The sequence below is a fragment of the Homo sapiens genome, chromosome 10 (genome assembly GCF_000001405.40).
Source record: "Homo sapiens chromosome 10, GRCh38.p14 Primary Assembly".
Classification (NCBI taxonomy): Eukaryota; Metazoa; Chordata; class Mammalia; order Primates; family Hominidae; genus Homo; species Homo sapiens.
The window spans coordinates 76,804,005-76,824,070 of NC_000010.11; the positions used below are offsets into that span (position 1 = coordinate 76,804,005).

Sequence of the window (20,066 nt, forward strand, 5' to 3'; positions counted from 1 at the left end):
GAAAAGTTGGTTTGAGACTACCTGAGAATCCTGTTTCTCATCACACTTTTGTTCTCCTTCCAGTTCTAGAATTCACTGATGATAAATACCTGAAGTAAGAATTACTGTGGTGGTTTTCTACTTCTATCATTCTTTCTACATTTATTTCCTGACATTCAACTGTAAGACAGCATTTCCTTCTCCTTTATTTTTTAATTTATTCAATTATCTATAATAGTATGAATTTGTGAATTCCTGTTTTATTCTTTAAGTTATAAACCAGTTTCTGGTTTCCTTCCAGAGCTTCCTGTGCCTAACATGTACATTTTATTATTTTCTCTGTTTCTTATTCAAAAAGTAGAATATAGAAACTCTTTAGATCCAAATCTTTGACACATATAAACTCTAAATTTAGAGTTTATTCTTGTGTGTGGTGTGAGGTGGGGCTCTGAGTTGATCTTTTTGAATTGCTGCTCAGTTGTGCTAGCACCATTTATTAAAAAGTCCATCTTTATTGATAAGTCCCTTGATTTGAAATATCTTTATCATATAGACTAAACGTCTATATGTTCTTGGGTCTATTTTTGGATTTTCTATTCTAGTACACTCGTCTGTTTGCCTATTCATGAGCCTACCTGACATTCTTAATTATAAAGATGTTATGGAATATTTTAATGGCTGGTGGAATAGTTACCACTTATATTCCACATACATATATGCGTGTGTGTGTGTGTGTGTATGTGTGTGTATATATATATATATATGTATATATACGTATATATACATATATATGTATATATATGTATATATGCATATATATGTATATATATACACGTATATATATATGTGTGTGTATATATATATATGTATATATATATATACACTGGTTTTCCAGACTCTTATCATGGCTGACTTTTCAAATAAACATTAGGATGAACTAGTCTAGCTTCATGTAAAACATGTGCTGTTAACTTGGATTGAGGTAAATGTACATGTTAGTTTAGGGTACTGCATCTGTATCAAGTTGGGTCTTTCTATCCAAGAAGAACGCATGTCTTTCCATTTGTTCAAGCTCACTTTGTGTCTTCAGAAGTTTTTTAAAAAGTCTTTCTCATAGACATGTTGCACATTTCTTGTTAAACTTATTCTTAACTATTTAATTTTCTTTGTTGCTATTATAAATGGAGGTTCTCTACCATTATGTCTTCTAACTGGTTGTTGTTCATGCATATAAAGGCTATTAATTTCTAGATATTAATTTTATATCCTCTTACCTTGCTGAATTATTTTGTTTCTTACGTTAGCTTTATCATTGATTGCCTGGGGCTTTACCCCTTCTTTACCATCATTATATCCAATTGATTTCTCTTGTCTTATGGCACTAGCAAATACCTTTAATACAATATTGAAGTAGTAGAGGTAGATTCCTTCCCTTGTTCCTGATGTTATCATATTATCTGCAGATAGAGAAACTTTACCCCTTCTTTACCATTATTATTCCTCCAATTGACTGATGTTATTGTAAATACCTCTTGTATTTCCCAATAAGAAACATGCTAGCTTTATGATGGTTTACATATTTGTTCATGATAAGAAAGTATCAATCAGTTTATATGTTCTTAACTTATTTATTAAAGAATAAGTGATGAATTTTCCCAAAAGATTTTTCAGCATTTATGGAGGTTTGGTCTATTTCTGAGACTTATTAATATAGTTTGTTACATAAATAGAATTCCTAATATTAAGTCAACTTTGCACACCTGGAATAAATGATACTTGGTTATGGTGTTTATTTTCTTACTGCAATGAAGTGTTGGAGTATATTTGCTAATATTTAGTTTAGTTACTTTTCATCAACATTTAAAAGTGGTATTGGTCTCTAGTTTTCTTGTACTCTCTTTATTATGTTTACATATCAACATTATAGTTGCATCATAAAAGTAATTAACAAGTTTTTCTTCATTTTTAATGCTCTGGAACAATATATGGAGCGTTGGAACTACCCAGTCTTTGAAGGTTTTATGAAGTTTGCCTGTGATAGCATCTGTCACACTATTAATATCTATGATACCATCTGGGTCAGATTCTGTCTTGTGGGATAGTTTCTTGATAACTTTGTCTCTATTTCTCTTATGAAAATTGGTTTAAGTGTTCTATCCCTAATGGTGTCAATTTTATTAACTTTATTTCCCGAGGAAAATTTTCCATTTCACCTATGTTTTCAAAATTATTTGTTTAGAGATCTTTCTTTTCTTTTCTTGATTAAGTTAGCTAGTGGTTTGTCTATTTTGTTAATTTTTCAACAAAACAGGATTTTATCTGCTAATTAGATTTGCCATTTTTCTATTCTTAATGTTATTTTTTTAGTTCCTACCTTGAAATTATTTTTTCATACTTTGGTTTTCTTTTTTTGAGCTTGGTATTTAATTCATTTGTGTTCATTTTTTTTTCCATAATTCCTCTTTCAACAAAGAGTTTTTACAATGGAGGGTTTACTTTTTTCTACTTTCCAGGTACTTTATTAAGCCTTTTTTCTTTTGTTTGCATTTTATTCACATGTTTTTTTTCTGCTTTCTTTTTTTGTTACTATATTGACACTTCTCATTTAATTGTATTTCGATCAGAGACTGTTGCATGTGCATGTAATACTGCTAACGTATGGGATTCACTGATGTTTCCTTTTGATGTGTGTGTGTGTGTGTGTGTGTGTGTGCGTGTGTAAGGTTATATGAGCCTTTGAAAAACTGTATTCTCTATGAGTAGAGTGTGTATTCATTTTCTAGTGCTGCCATAACAAAGAACCACAAACTGAGTGGCTTAAAACACTATAAATGTATCGTTTCACAGTCCCAGAGAGGAGAAGTCAGAGATCAAGTCATGGTCATGCTCTCTCTGAGGCCTGTAGTGGGGACTCCTTCCTTGTGTCTTCTAGCTCTGGTGTTTGCTGACAATCCATGGCAGTCCTGGGCTGGTAGGTACATCACCCCAATCTCTGCCTTCATCATCACATGACTGTCTTATCCTGTGTGTCTCTGTCTCTTCTCTTTTTCTTATAAAGACACCAGTCACAATTGATTAAGGTTTCACTCTACTCCAGTGTAACTTCATCTGAACTAATTACGTCTGCAACAATCCTATTTACAAATAAGGTCACATTCTAAGGTGCAAGGGGTTAGGACTTCAGTTTATCATTTTGGGAGACATAATTCAACTTATAATAATATATAAAAATCAATATATATTCATAAGATCTACATTTTTCTTATGTATTTTTAGGTCTTCTATATTCTTATGCATTTTTGTCCGCTTGATAGTTCTTGTACTGAGACTGTTGTGTTAAAATTCTCTATTGTTAAAGTGTATTCTTGAATCTCCTATGGGTTTTGCTTATTAAAGGTGATTGCTACATTATTTGGTGCATAGATCTCTATAATATATCTTTATTGTGAATTGTGGCTTTTAGCCTTTAAACATTTTCTGCATTTAATGTGATTTTTTGGTTTGAATTCTCTTCTGTCTACTATAAGAATATGTTCCTTTTACTTACTTTATTTTTAATTCCAATTACCTTAGTTTCTTAGTATACCCTTATCCACCCATACCTTTTTTCCAAACATTTCAAATCATTTTAAGTATATCTATTATATACAACATATCTTTTAGTCTTATTTTGTGTATATTTCAAATGTTTTTCTTTTATTAAGTGGATAACATCGATTCTAATTTATCAGTGTGACTATATGTCTAGTTCCAACTGTGGCAAAATAATTTTTAATTGCATTCTATTTGCTATTTTTCATTTGATGTGTATGTTTAATTTTTTCTTCTTTCTTTTTCTCCTTTTATTTCTTCCATTTTGGAAGGTTTCTGTTATTGTTTTGTTGGTTACCTTTACACTTATACTTTATTGAATACCCCTAGTCCAGTGTTTCCTTAGGTAGTCTTTTGCCATCTGACTTCTCGGTTTTTCATAGTACCCGTTAACTTCTAACCACTGCCTATACAATGAGCTGATTCTTCTCTTGAGGTTTTTTGAACTGTCCCAGCTGACCTCAAATGTGGGAGTGTGAAAGTTTGCTCACTGGAATTTGATATTTTATCTTTTTAAAATTATAGTTACTTTGAAATTTGGGTATTTTGTGTGTTCTATTTATTCTGAGGATGTGGCTTTCGAATATGTATAAATATAGACAGATATAGAGAAAAAAGAGAAGTTGTTTTGTCAGGAAAATGATTCCCTGCATTCTAGCCCAGGCTTGCCCTTGAGTGATTTGCATTTAGACTTTCCTAATGACTGCATCACACAGCTAGAAAAACTTTTTTGAACTTTTCCTGGCCTCATCAAAACTTCAGTCCAATTAATTAATCCAACCACTCTCTTATAAGCCTTTACTTCTCCCTGTCTTTCCATTTCCTCCTCATGCAGGTAAGAGTCCATCATCTATTACCACAATTCAATGCTTGCAATCTCACAAGCTTACGGGGCCAGGCAGGCAACATAAATGAGTAAAACTGGCAAGAGAAAACACAGCAAGAACTTGTCCAGATGGGATGAACCAAATTGATTGTGCTCCATCTAAAAGCGTTCAAATGCATAGTTTTAATACAATGAATGAGCCAAACAAAATCTGTCTCCAGGCTAAATTTTTCATGTCACCTCTCACCTTATTTCCATTCATTATTATCTTCTAAAATCTCAACTTTCATTAAACTCCCTGTTTTCTCCATGTCTGCATCCACGTTGCTTCACATTGAAGAGAAGAAAAATAATGCAATCAGGCTGACCAGCTTCATGTACAACTCAGTATCACATCGCACGTGGCACTCACCCTAAGCAGCCATCCTCCTACACCTTCTAGGAAGCTTTCTATTTCTCTCTCAGAGATGACGATTTATTTCTCCTTCCCACATACTTTATCATTAGAACGCTTTTAGCAGCAGTTATAGAGTTTTCAACTAAAATGGCTTCTATTTATAAGAAGTCCCCTCTGTAACCTCAGTTATCCTGTTTATTTCATTCACAGCAATCATTACACTCTACAATCATTCTGGGTTTTGCTTATTGCTTTATATATTTTTTATTTTCCTCAACCAGAAACATACACTCTGTGAAGACAAAGATTTTTGTCTTTTATTTGCCAGGTAGCTTTTGGATCTAGAACTATGGCTGCCACATATTAGGAACACAATAAGCACATGTTAAATGAAGGGATTAATCAGAACAAAGATATAACGTGTTTGAATTCCAAGAAACACAGGATAAAGGGCTGTCGCGGGTAAGGTCTAGAAAAGGGATTGGCACACCTTTTCTGCAGAGAGCCAGATAATAAATATTTTCAGCTTTGCAGGCCATATGGTCTCTGTCATGAGTATTTAACTCTGCTATTGCAGCATGAAAGCAGTCATGGATAATGTATAACAAATGGGAGTGGCCACATTTGGACCACAGTCATAGTTTGTGGACCTCTGGTCTAGATGAACAGTCTTTGCAAAAAACGAAACCCTGGGCTCATGCTGCCACTTGTGCATGCTCAAGAAACCATATATGCAAGTATACACTTATATCTACACTGTGAACTACAAAGCAGAGTATGGACTCTAGCACCATATTGCTCAGTTCAAGTCCTGGTCTGTCACTTCTGTGCTTTGTGACCATGGACAATTAACTATCTTCTCTGCATTTCAGTTTCTTCATCACTAAAATAGAGATAATAGCAGTTTCTTTGTCATTAGGATAAATGAGGATTAAATGAGACAATTTTTGTGAAATGCTTAGAACAATTTAGCACATAGTAAGTGTTAAGATGTATGTGTTAAATAAATATCGAAAGGGTCCTTGCTAGGCATTTTGCACCTCATTTCCTTCTTACAGAAGCTCATTGCTTCTGTGAGATATTAGTATTATCCCCATTTCGAAGACATGTAAATTTTGACTCAGGGAAACTAGGCATGATTCCTATGGTTATATGCCTAGTAAGTGATAGTATTAGGGCCAGATAAATGCATTTACAGATACTCTCTGGAAAGATAGTAGAATACATTTTTCATATTGAATGTCCATTCAAGATAAAGGTAACCAACATAGATTGGCCCCTGCACTGGTTTTAAAACATGGCTGCAAATTGTTTGATACTCCTCCTAGTGAGAGGAATCCACTCCTCTTGAATCTGGGTGGATTTGAGACTGCTTCAACCAACAGAGTATGGTAAAAGAGGCACTCTGTGACTGCCAAGGCTAGACCATAAAGGGTCATTCAGTTTTTCTTTCTTTGCTGGAATACATTCTCTTAGAACTGTGGGCAGCCATGTAAAAGGTCCAATTAGCCTGAGGTCGCCATGTTGTGAGAAAGCCCAAGCCATGTGGAAAGGCCATGCATGGCTGCTTAAGTCAAGGGTCCCATCAGAGCCCAGACTTGGAGTCATCCAAGCCCAGGAGTCAGAAATGTGAGTGAAAGTCTTCAGATGATTCCAGCCCCCAGCCAGTAGCCCCACAGCCATTTAACTCTTCCCAGCTGAAGCCCCAGACATCACGGAGCAGACAAACCATCCTCCCCACTGTGATGTGTATGAGTTTCTGAACCACAGAACCCATAAGCATAATAAAACAGTTGATGTTTAATACAATTAAGTTTTGGGGTGCATTGTTAGCACATTACAGAACAGCTTCTTTCCAGATTTTCCTAAACTACAGTTACAGTTAAGCTTATCAATGCTGAACTTCTTTTCCCAGTTACCTTGCTTTGCTGCTACTCCCACAGTCTTTTGAGCTATCCAGCATTCGAAGGATCTGAGATTTGAACTCAAGAATTGTTTCTGACCCCCTCACTCTACTAGGTGATCTTAAGCAAATCGTTTCATATCTTTGGATCAGTTTTCTCTTCTAAAAGGATGAGCAAAGCCTGCTTTGAAAGATTCCCGTGAGAATCAAATGATACCATGGATGCAAAACTGCTTTAATGGAATTTAGACTCCAGATTTTTGGCAAGATCTGGGGCAGAGGGCAGTTTTAATCTTGCTTCAGTTTCAGTCTTGCAAAAAGCATATTTGCCCAAGCAAACCAATAATGTTGATGCTGCAGCCATTGGAAGAGCAAGCACACTTCTTACCATGCACTAGGGGCTTCTAAAGTGTGTGTGTGTGTGTGTGTGTGTGTGTGTGTGTGTGTAATTTAATAGTGGGCCAGCCTGGTGACTTTGAAACAACTCAAGTGTCTGACATGAAAGCAAGAGACAGTGTTTGGAACGAGGGCCATGAAATGCAAGTACATTGCAAATCACTCAGTTGTGCTGTCGAGGGAATCACAGTCACTATATATATTCTCTTAAATGTAGTTTCCCAGCAAACCTTTCATAAAATTCATAACTGTGGCTGACCTCTGCTACATGCTTGCCACCACGACTTTCTCTTCCACCCTCAAATATAACCCAGGCTTGTAAGGCACTTGTGGCAAACACTGTTATCATTCCCAACCCCTTCTCCCTTTCTGTCTCCTTCTATAGAATTCAGAAAACCAGTACTTGCTATCTCAGCTTCCTAGGCATCTAAGGGTGAGCAGAGTCCACAAGGAAGAAGAAAAAGCCTTCAGGAAGAGGATTTTTGCAAAATATTTCTCTTTCCTGAAATAAGGGCACATAATGCTGACACAGCCTTTCCCACTTACTCTTTCTACAGCCTTGAAAGCATGAGGGATGGAGCTGCAGCAGCCATCTTGTGAGAAAGAGGAAAACTCCAAGATTAGTATCTGTTCTGATATCTTTGACCCAACTGCCTTTCACTCTGTATGAAAAAGTGTCTATTTTTGTAGCCACTGTTAGTTGCATTTTCTAGTGCATATGCAGAAAATTCTAACTGATATGAAATTGCAGAAAATTAGGTGTGTGATTGACAATTGGACCCTTCTTCTATAAGCGAACAGGTAAATTTTACTTCTCTGACCTTTATGAGGATGGCAGAAACAAAAACCCTTGAGTATAAAATCATTTAGAGCCCATTATGTCACTCTCCCACTAGGTTAAAAAAAAAAAAGTGACGTCTTAGACACTCCCTTTATTTCTCCCTGCGGCTTTGCGACTCTGCTGGTTGAGTGCATGATATTCTCCTGCCCCAACTACTGCCACAGCCTCCCTAGTTACCTTCCTCTCCACTGTGGTACCCTCCCAGTCATTCTCCACCCTGCAGCCCTTGAGGTTTTCCTAGAAGCAAATGTGATCCATATTCTCCATCATTGCAATGCTCCTTCATGAAAGCCTTCTCTCTGCTGGGAAGGCTCTCCAAGATTTGGCCTCTACATTTCTCTCCACCTTCTCCCCCAGCCAATTCTTTTGTAGAGGCACTTCACTACAATGTTCTCAAGCTCCTTAAACTCTCAGCTTCAGCCACCCTGAATTTTAAAATCCCCTCTCTCACCATTCTAACCCCTCTGCTTGGCTATTTCCCTCTCACATACCTCAATTTTTTCTGATGTATGTATACACACACACACATACACACATACTGCTCTAGATTTGTTGCTCCTCTTATGTGCCCCCAGTACTTGAAGAAAATATACAATATAAGCAGATATCTTTCTGACTAGGTAGTAAGTTACCTGAGGGCAGGGCTTGAGTGTGTCTTGTTCACTGTTGTAATGCCAGTGCCCAGAGAAGTGCCTGGCATGTAGTATTAGAAAAAAGGAAGGAAGAAAGCAAGCAAGAAAGAAATCAAGGAAGTAATGAAGAAAAGAAGGGAGGGAGAGAGGGAGATGGGAGAGTAGTCTGATCACTTTCTATTCACCTCCTTGTTGTAGGAGGCACCATCTGCCCTAAATAATATGAGATGGCTGAACACATGTCTGACACCATACAGCTGAGACAAACAGCAGTTTCTTAGTCATATATACTCACAGCCCAGAGTGGGAGAACACCACAGTCCCTGCAGAAAAACATGAGAATTGCTTGGGAGCAGACAGAACTGAAAGGAGTTGTAGCAGGCAGGCTCTGTAGTGACACAGGGGTGGGGTGACCCTTTGTTCACTTAGGAAGGTGTGATTGGCTTGTTTGAATAATTTTGTGGTCTGGCAGGGGAGTGACTAAATTAAGCTCAGGGTGACTTTTCAGTTACCACCAGGGGTATTCAGTGTTGACTGGCTGATCCAGTCCCTGTTCCCAACCTCCTTATCCCTATCTACTTTCCATCCAGGCCTGATCATGTGTCATAGTGTGGGTCAATGGGACATAAACATAATTGTCTGTGGAATTTCTGGAGAAATTCCAGAGAAAGTTTTGCTTTCCTCGTTAAGGTAATATTCTTTTCTCCTTATTTTTCCCTCTTTGTTCCTGCTGGAATGCGCACCTAATGGCTAGAACAGCAGCAGCCATCTTGTAATCACTGGAGATAGCCAAGACAATCATAAAGGTTTGCAACATCTGAAAAAATTTGCCTCTTATTCATTACTTCTCAGGAAGCTATTGTATAATTGAGTTTACTTTTTTACATAAGATTTAATCATACATATTTTCATACATCATTAAATATTCTTTGTAAGTATCAATTTAGATTGTACATATATGATTACATTGAATGGATATACTATAGTATGTCTTTCTTACTATTTTCCCATTGTTGTGAATATGCTGTTTTATTCATCTTCTGTATCATTCAAATTTGAGGGATTGAGAGTTACAGCTAGCTGTGCACTGTGATGGGCTGCCATTGGGGTTAGTGTTTGGCTGGACACTGATTTGAATGCCCTCTGGGTTTCAGAAGACATGATGAATGAGTTTGGAGCTTGAAACGCTTGGAAGGCATCTATGCAGTGGTCTATATTCTAAAGCATGGTGGATACCCACATCTTCCCTATAAGATCCAGGCCCCAAGTGAGCTCAGTGGACATTCCACCTACATGCTGGAGAGATCGGGGGCTGGACTGAATTGGAAAAGTGTTGCCTAAGGGGCACCAAAGCTAGTGTGGAGAAACAGAATCATCTTTTAAAAGAGCCAAGGTAGTGGCTGGTACCAGTTTTTCCTTTCCATGTTTAGTGCTTCCTTCAGGAGCTCTTTTAGGGCAGGCCTGGTGGTGATAAAATCTCTCAGCATTTGCTTGTCTGTAAAGTACTTTATTTCTCCTTCAATTATGAAGTTTAGTTTGGCTAGATATGAAAGTCTGGGTTGAAAATTATTTTCTTTAATAATGTTTAATATTGGCCCCCACTCTCTTCTGTTTTGTAGAGTTTCTGCCGAGAGATCAGCTGTTCGTCTGATGGGCTTCCCTTTGTGGGTAACCCGACCTTTCTCTCTGGCTGCCCTTAACATTTTTTCCTTCATTTCAGCTTTGGAGAATCTGACAATTATGTGTCTTGGAGTCGCCCTTCTCGAGGAGTATCTTTGTGGCGTTCTCTGTATTTCCTGAATTTGAATGTTGGCCCGCCTTGCTAGATTGGGAAAGTTCTCCTGGATAATATCCTGCAGAGTGTTTTCCAACTTGGTTCCATTCTCCCCGTCACTTTCAGGTACACCAATCAGACGTAGATTTGGTCTTTTCACATAGTCCCATATTTCTTGGAGGCTTTGTTCATTTCTTTTTATTCTTTTTTCTCTAAACTTCTCTTCACACTTCATTTCATTCATTTCATCTTCCATCGCTGATACTTTCTTCCAGTTGATTGCATCGGTTACTGAGGCTTGGGCATTCGTCACATAGTTCTCGTGACGAATTCTCAGATCTCAGATCTCAGATCTCAAGCTGCGTGCTGGGAGAACCACAACTCTCTTCAAAGCTGTCAGACAGGGACATTTAAGTCTGCAGAGGTTATTGCTGTCTTTTGTTTTTCTGTGCCCTGCCCCCAGAGGTGGAGCTTACGGAGGCAGGCAGGCCTCCTTGATGGTTTTCAGCTCCATCAGGTCCTTTAAGGACTTCTCTGCATTGGTTATTCTAGTTAGCCATTCGTCTAATTTTTGTCAAAGTTTTAACTTCTTTGCCATTGGTTTGAACTTCCTCCTTTAGCTCAGAGTAGTTTGATCTTCTGAAGCCTTCTTCTCTCAACTCGTCAAAGTCATTCTCCGTCCAGTTTTGTTCCGTTGCTGGTGAGGAGCTGTGTTCCTTTGGAGGAGGAGAGGCGCTCTGATTTTTAGAGTTTCCGGTTTTTCTGCTGTTTTTTCCTCATCTTTGTGGTTTTATCTACCTTTGGTCTTTGATGATGGTGACGTACAGATGGGTTTTTGGTGTGGATGTCCTTTCTGTTTGTTAGTTTTCCTTCTAACAGTCAGGACCCTCAGCTGCAGGTCTGTTGGAGTTTGCTGGAGGTCCACTCCAGACCCTGTTTGCCTGGGTATCAACAGCAGTGGTGCAGAACAGTGGATATTGGTGAACCGCAAATGCTGCTGCCTGATCATTCCTCTGGAAGTTTTGTGTCAGAGGAGTACCCGGCCGTGTGAGGTGTCAGTCTGCCCCTACTGGGGGGTGCCTCCCAGTTAGGCTACTCGGGGGTCAGGGACCCACTTGAGGAGGCAGTCTGCCCATTCTCAGATCTCAAGCTGCGTGCTGGGAGAACCACAACTCTCTTCAAAGCTGTCAGACAGGGACATTTAAGTCTGCAGAGGTTATTGCTGTCTTTTGTTTTTCTGTGCCCTGCCCCCAGAGGTGGAGCTTACCGAGGCAGGCAGGCCTCCTTGATCTGTGGTGGGCTCCACCCAGTTTGAGCTTCCTGGCCACTTTGTTTACCTACTCAAGCCTGGGCAATGGTGGGCGCCCTTCCCCCAGCCTTGCTGCCGCCTTGCAGTTTGATCTCAGACTGCTGTGCTAGCAATGAGCGAGGCTCCGTGGGCGTAGGACCTTCCGAGCCAGGTGTGGGATACAATCTCCTGGTGTGCCGTTTGTTAAGCCCATTGGAAAAGTGCAGTATTAGGGTGGGAGTGACCCGGTTTTCCAGGTGCCATCTGTCACCCCTTTCTTTGACTAGGAAAGGGAATTCCCTGACCCCTTGTGCTTCCTGGGTTAGGTGATGCCTCGCCCTGCTTCGGCTCATGCACAGTGCGCTGCACCCACTGTCCTGCACCCACTGTCCGGCACTCCCCAGTGAGATGAACCCAGTACCTCAGTTGGAAATGCAGAAATCACCCATCTTCTGCAAAGCTCACGCTGGGAGCTGTAGACTGGAGCTGTTCCTATTCAGCCATCTTGTGACTTCAACCTATACTACAGGCTACAATAACGAAAACAGCATGGTACTGGGGCCAAAACAGAGATATAGACCAAAGGAACAGAACAGAGCCCTCAGAAATAATGCCGCATATCTAAAACTATCTGATCTTTGACAAACCTGACAAAAACAAGCAATGGGGAAAGGATTCCCTATTTAATAAATGGTGCTGGGAGAACTGGCTAGCCATATATAGAAAGCTGAAACTAGATCCCTTCCTTACACCTTATACAAAAATTAATTCAAGATGGATTAAAGACTTAAATGTTAGACCTAAAACCATAAAAACCCTAGAAGAAAACCTAGGCAATACCATTCAGGACATAGGCATGGGCAAGGACTTCATGTCTAAAACACCAAAAGCAATGGCAACAAAAGCCAAAATTGACAAATGGGATCTCATTAAACTAAAGAGCTTCTGCACAGCAAAAGAAACTACCATTAGAGTGAACAGGCAACCTACAGAATGGGAGAAAAATTTTGCAACCTACTCATCTGACAAAGGGCTAATATCCAGAATCTACAATGAACTCCAACAAATTTACAGGAAAAAAACAAACAACCCCATCAAAAAGTGGGCAAAGGATATGAACAGACACTTCTCAAAAGAAGACATTTATGCAGCCAAAAAACACAGGAAAAAATGCTAATCATTACTGGCCATCAGAGAAATGCAAATCAAAACCACAATGAGATACCATCTCACACCAGTTAGAATGGCGATCATTAAAAAGTCAGGAAACTACAGGTGCTGGAGAGGATGTGGAGAAATAGGAAGACTTTTACATTGTTGGCGGGACTGTAAACTAGTTTAACCAGTGCGGAAGTCAGTGTGGCGATTCCTCAGGGATCTAGAACTAGAAATACCATTTCACCCAGCCATCCCATTACTGGGTATATACCCAAAGGATTATAAATCATGCTGCTTTAAAGACACATGCACACGTATGTTTATTAAGGCACTATTCACAAGAGCAAAGACTTGGAACCAACCCAAATATCCAACAATCGACAATGATAGACTGGATTAAGAAAATGTGGCACATATACACCATGGAATACTATGCAGCCATAAAAAATGATGAGTTCATGTCCTTTGTAGGGACATGGATGAAGCTGGAAACCGTCAGTCTCAGCAAACTATCGCAAGGACAAAAAACCAAACACCACATGTTCTCACTCATAGGTGGGAACTGAACAATGAGAACACATGGACACAGGAAGGGGAACATCATACTCTAGGTACTATTGTGGGGTGGGGGTAGTGGGGAGGGATAGCATTAGGAGATATACGTAATGCTAAATGACGAGTTAATGGGTGCAGCACGACAACATGGCACATGTATACATATGTAACTAACCTGCACATTGTGCACATGTACCCTAAAACTTAGAGTATAATAATATAAAATAAAATAAAATAAAATAAAGAAAATTATATAATTAGACAAAAAAAGAGCCAAGGTAGTTTTCAGAAATTCATAAAATTATATGGGCATAGCAAGAATGAAAATAAGAAAATGAGAAATGGATTCATAGTTGGAAAATCCAGAAAATATGAATTATGTCATGTGGTTGCAGTCAGGGGCTGAGGCCACTGACACCAAGTAGACAATGGGTGGCCTCCTACAAGATGCCTGGCTGCTAGGGTGGAGGCAGATACAAGAGCTAAAAGGAGCTATATCGGCCAGGTAACTCTCCTCTTTATTTTTTCCTGATTGTTTTCTAACTTTTTAAAAGAGTAAAAACTCCTTTGAATATAAAAATAAATAGTGTTCCTATTTCTCCACATCCTCTCCAGCATCTGTTGTTTCCAGACTTTATAATGATCACCATTCTAACTGGCATGAGATAGTATCTCCTTGTGGTTTTTCAATCTGCAGTTCTCTAATGACCAGTGATGATGAGATTTTTTCATGTTTGTTGGCCACATAAATGTCTTCTTTTGAGAAGTGTCTGTTCATATCCTTTGCTCACTTTTTAATGGGGTTGTTTTTTCTTGGATCTAGAACCAGAAATACCATTTGACCCAGCAATCCCATTACTGGGTATATATATACCCTGTCAGGCCTCTGAGCCCAAGCCAAGTCATCGCATCCCCTGGGACTTGCAGGTATATGCCCACATGGCCTGAAGTAACTGAAGATCCACAAAAGAAGTAAAAATAGCCTTAACTGATGACATTCCATCATTGTGATTTGTTCCTGCCCCACCCTAACTAATCAATGTACTTTGTAATCTCCCCCACCCTTAAGAAGGTTCTTTGTAATTCTCCCCACCCTTGAAAGTGTACTTTGTGAGATCCACCCCTGCCCACCAGAGAACAACCCCCTTTGACTGTAATTTTCCATTACCTTCCCACATCCTATAAAATGGCCCCACCACTATCTCCCTTCGCTGACTCTCTTTTCGGACTCAGCCCGCCTGCACCCAGGTGAAATAAACAGCCATGTTGCTCACACAAAGCCTGTTTGGTGGTCTCTTCACACGACGCGCATGAAATTTGGTGCCGGAACTAAGCAGCTGCCAGCTTGACTTTTAGCTTAGTGAAATTTGGTGCCGTGACTCGGATCAGGGGACCTCCCTTGGGAGATCAATCCCCTGTCCTCCTGCTCTTTGCTTGGTGAGAAAGATCCACCTACGACCTCAGGTCCTTAGACTGACCAGCCCAAGAAACATCTCACCAATTTCAAATCCGGTAAGCGGCCTCTTTTTACTCTCGTCTCCAAACTCCCTCACTATCCCTCAACCTCTTTCTCCTTTCAATCTTGGCGCCACACTTCAATCTCTCCCTTCTCTTAATTTCAATTCCTTTCATTTTCTGGTAGAGACAAAAGAGACATGTTTTATCCATGAACCCAAAACTCCGGCACCGGTCACGGACTGGGGAGGCAGCCTTCCCTTGGTGTTTAATCATTGCAGGGACGCCCTCTGATTATACACTCACGTTTCAAGGGTGTCAGACCACGCAGGGATGCCTGCCTTGGTCCTTCGCCCTTAGCGGCAAGTCCCGCTTTCCTGGGGCCGGGGCAAGTACCCCTCAACCCCTTCTCCTTCACCCTCAGCGGCAAGTCCCGCTTTCCTGGGGCCGGGGCAAGTACCCCTCAACCCCTTCTCCTTCACCCTCAGCGGCAAGTCCCGCTTTCCTGGGGCAGGGGCAAGTACCCCTCAACCCCTTCTCCTTCACCCTCAGCGGCAAGTCCCGCTTTCCTGGGGCCGGGGCAAGTACCCCTCAACCCCTTCTCCTTCACCCTCAGCGGCAAGTCCCGCTTTCCTGGGGCAGGGGCAAGTACCCCTCAACCCCTTCTCCTTCACCCTCAGCGGCAAGTCCCGCTTTCCTGGGGCAGGGGCAAGTACCCCTCAACCCCTTCTCCTTCACCCTCAGCGGCAAGTCCCGCTTTCCTGGGGCAGGGGCAAGTACCCCTCAACCCCTTCTCCTTCACCCTTAGCAGCAAGTCCCGCTTTCCTAGGGGGCAAGAAACCCCCAATCACTTATTTCCGCACCCCAACCTCTTATCTCTGCACCCCAATCCCTTATTTCCGCACCCTGACCTCTTATCTCTGTGCCCCAATCCCTTATTTCCATGCCTCAACCCCTTCTCTGCTTTTCTGGAGGGCAAGAACCCCCCACCCCTTCTCCGTGTCTCTACTCTTTTTTCTGGGCTTGCCTCCTTCACTATGGGTAAGCTTCCACCTTCCATTCCTCCTTCTTCTCCCTTAGCCTGTGTTCTCAAAAACTTAAAACCTCTTCAACTCACACCTGACCTAAAACCTAAATGCCTTATTTTCTTCTGCAATGCCGCTGGACTCCAGTACAAGCTCGACAGTAGTTCCAAATAGCCGGAAAACGGCACTTTCAATTTTTCCATCCTACAAGATCTAAATAATTCTTGTCGTAAAATGGGCAAATGGTCTGAGGTGCCTGAAGTCCAGGCATTCTTTTACACATCAGTCCCTTCCTAGTCTCTGTGCCCAGTGCAACTCGTCCCAAATCTTCCTTCTTTCCCTCCCACCTGTACCCTCAGTCCCAACCCCAAGCTTCGCTGAGTCTTTCTAATCTTCCTTTTCTACAGACCCATCTGACCTCTCCCCTCCTCACCAGGCCAAGCTAGGTCCCAATTCTTCCTCAGCCTCTGCTCCTCCACCCTGTAATCTTTTTATCGCCTCCCCTCCTCACACGTGGTCTGGCTTACAGTTTTGTTCTGTGACTAGCCCTCCCCCACCTGCCCAGCAATTTACTCTTAAAAAGGTGGCTGGAGCCAAAGGCATAGTCAAAGTTAATGCTCCTTTTACTTTATCCCAAATCAGATAGCATTTAGGCTCTTTTTCATCAAATATAAAAACCCAGCCCAGTTCATGGCTCGTTCGTCAGCAACCCTGAGACGCTTTACAGCCCTAGACCCTAAAAGGTCAAAAGGCCATCTTATCCTCAATATACATTTTATTACCCAATCTGCTCCCGACATTAAGTAAAACTCCAAAAATTAAATTCCGGCCCTCAAACCCCACAACAGCATTTAATTAACCTCGCCTTCAAGGTGTACAATAATAGAAAAAAGTTGCAGTTCCTTGCCTCTACTGTGAGACAAACCCCAGCCACATCTCCAGCACACAAGAACTTCCAAACGCCTGAACTGCAGCGGCCAGGCGTTCCTCCAGAACCTCCTCCCACAGGAGCTTGCTACACATGCCAGAAATCTGGCCACTGGGCCAAGGAATGCCCGCAGCCTGGGATTCCTCCTAAGCCGTGTCCCATCTCTGTGGGACCCCACTGAAAATCGGACTGTTCAACTCACCTGGCAGCCACTCCTGGAGCCCCTGGAACTCTGGCGCAAGGCTCTCTGACTGACTCCGTCCCAGATCTTCTCGGCTTAGCGGCTGAAGACTGACACTGCCCGATCGCCTCGGAAGCCCCCTAGACCATCACGGACACCAAGGTTCGGGTAACTCTCACAGTGGAAGGAAGCCCCTCCCCGTCTTAATCAATACGGAGGCTACCCACTCCACATTACCTGCTTTTCAAGGGCCTGTTTCCCTTGCCTCCATAACTGTTGTGGGTATTGACGGCCAGGCTTCTAAACCTCTTAAAACTCCCCAACTCTGGTGCCAACTTAGACAATACTCTTTTAAGCACTCCTTTTTAGTTATCCCCACCTGCCCAGTTCCCTTATTAGGCTGAGACACTTTAACTAAATTATCTGTTTCCCTGACTATTACTGGACTACAGCTATATCTCATTGCCGCCCTTCTTCCCAATCCAAAGCCTCCTTTGTGTCCTCTTGTATCCATCCCCCCACCTTAACCCACAAGTATAAGAAAGATACCTCTACTCCCTCCTTGGCGACTGATCATGCACTCCTTACCATCTCATTAAAACCTAATCACCCTTACCCCACTCAACGCCAATATCCCATCCCGCAGCACGATTTAAAAAGATTAAAGCCTGTTATCACTCACCTGCTACAGCATGGCCTTTTAAAGCCTATAAACTCTCCTTACAATTCCCCCATTTTACCTGTCCTAAAACCAGACAAGACTTACAAGTTAGTTCAGGATCTGCTCCTTATCAACCAAATTGTTTTGCCTATACACCCTGTGGTGCCAAACCCATATACTCTCCTATCCTCAATACCTGCCTCTACAACCCATTATTCTGTTCTAGATCTCAAACATGCTTTCTTTACTATTCCTTTGCAACCTTAATCCCAGCCTCTCTTCATTTTCACTTGGACTGACCCTGACACCCATCAAGCTCAGCAAATTACCTAGGCTGTACTGCCTCAAAGCTTCACAGACAGCCCCCATTACTTCAATCAAGCCCAAATTTCTTCCTCATCTGTTACCTATCTTGGCATAATGCTCATAAAAACACACGTGCTCTCCCTGCCAATCGTGTCCAACTGATCTCTCAAACCCAAGCACCTTCTACAAAACAACTCCTTTCCTTCCTAGGCATTCCTAGGCGGTCAGAATTTTTACACAAGAGCCAGGACCACACCCTGTAGCCTTTCTGTCCAAACAACTTGACCTTACTGTTCTAGCCTAGCCCTCATGTCTGCGTGCAGTGGCTGCCGCTGCTTTAATACTTTTAGAGGCCCTCAAAATAAGTAGAGGCCTTTCCTACAGGGTCTGAGAAGGCCACCGCAGTCATTTCTTCCGTTCTGTCAGACATAATTCCTCAGTTTAGCCTTCCCACCTCAATACAGTCTGATAACAGACGAGCCTTTATTAGTCAAATCAGCCAAGCAGTTTTTCAGGCTCTTAGTATTCAGTGAAACCTTTATATCCCTTATGGTCCTCCATCTTCAAGAAAAGTAGAATGGACTAAAGGTCTTTTAAAAACACACCTCACCAAGCTCAGCCACCAACTTAAAAAGGACTGGACAATACTTTTACCGCTTTCCCTTCTCAGAATTCAGGCCTGTCCTCGGAATGCTGCAGGGTACAGCCCATTGAAGGTCCTGTATAGACGCTCCTTTTTATTAGGCCCCAGTCTCATTCCAGACACCAGACCAACTTAGACTGTGCCCCAAAAAAAAAAAAAAAAAAAAAAAAAAGAAAAAACTTGTCATCCCTACTATTTTCTGTCTAGTCATACTCCTATTCACCGTTCTCAACTACTCATACATGCCCTGCTCTTGTTTACACTGCCTGTTTACACTGTTTTTCCAAGCCATCACAGCTGATATCTCCTGGTGCTATCCCCAAACTGCCACTCTTAACTCTTGAAGTAAATAAATAATCTTTGCTGGCAGGACTATGCCAAATCTCCTTAAGCACTCTCTAATCAGACATCCTGAGTCGTCCCAATTCTTAGACCTTTTATACCTGTTTTTCTCCTTCTGTTATTCCATTTAGTTTTTCAGTTCATACAAAACCGTATCCAGGCCATCACCAATCATTCTATACGACAAATGTTTCTTCTAACATCCCCACAATATCACCCCTTACCACAAGACCTCCCTTCAGCTTAATCTCTCCCACTCTAGGTTCCCACGCCGCCCCTAATCCCGCTTGAAGCAGCCCTGAGAAACATCGCCCATTCTCGCTCCATACCACCCCCCAAAAAATTTTTGCCGCCCCAACACTTCAATACTATTTTGCTTTATTTTTCTTATTAATATAAGAAGGCAGGAATGTCAGGCCTCTGAGCCCAAGCCAAGCCATCGCATCCCCTGGGACTTGCACGTATATGCCCAGATGGCCTGAAGTAACTGAAGATCCACAAAAGAAGTAAAAATAGCCTTAACTGATGACATTCCATCATTGTGATTTGTTCCTGCCTCACCCTAACTAATCAATGTACTTTGTAATCTCCCCCACCCTTAAGAAGGTTCTTTGTAATTCTCCCCACCCTTGAGAATGTACTTTGTGAGATCCACCCCTGCCCACCAGAGAACAACCCCCTTTGACTGTAATTTTCCATTACCTTCCCAAATCCTATAAAATGGCCCCACCCCTATCTCCCTTCGCTGACTCTCTTTTCGGACTCAGTCTGCCTGCACCCAGGTGAAATAAACAGCCATGTTGCTCACACGAAGCCTGTTTGGTGGTCTCTTCACACAGACACGTATGAAATACCCAAAGCATTATAAATCATTCTAGTATAAAGACAAATGCACATGTATGTTTACTGTGACACTATTCACAATAGCAAAGACTTGGGACCAACCCAAATGCCCATCAATGTTAGAATGGACAAAGAAAACGTGGCACATATACACTATGGAATACTATGCAGCCATAAAAAAGGATGAGTTCATGTCCTTTCCAGGGACATGGATGAAGCTGGAAACCATTATTCTCCACAAACTAACACAGGAACAGAAAAGCAAACACCACATGTTCTCACTCATAAGTGAGAATTGAACAATGAGAAAACATGGACACAGGGAGGGGAACATCACACAGC

The 20,066-nt window shown here is 41.5% G+C and overlaps 2 annotated features.

Moving 5' to 3' along the window:
- Positions 5,234–5,735: an enhancer, noted in NCBI's record as "OCT4 hESC enhancer chr10:78568996-78569497 (GRCh37/hg19 assembly coordinates)". NCBI's record gives its function as "activates a minimal SCP1, AML or CMV promoter by ChIP-STARR-seq in naive H9 embryonic stem cells {active_cell/tissue: H9 hESC(naive)}" and the evidence as "EXISTENCE:reporter gene assay evidence [ECO:0000049][PMID:30033119]".
- Positions 18,979–19,480: an enhancer, noted in NCBI's record as "NANOG hESC enhancer chr10:78582741-78583242 (GRCh37/hg19 assembly coordinates)". NCBI's record gives its function as "activates a minimal SCP1, AML or CMV promoter by ChIP-STARR-seq in primed H9 embryonic stem cells {active_cell/tissue: H9 hESC(primed)}" and the evidence as "EXISTENCE:reporter gene assay evidence [ECO:0000049][PMID:30033119]".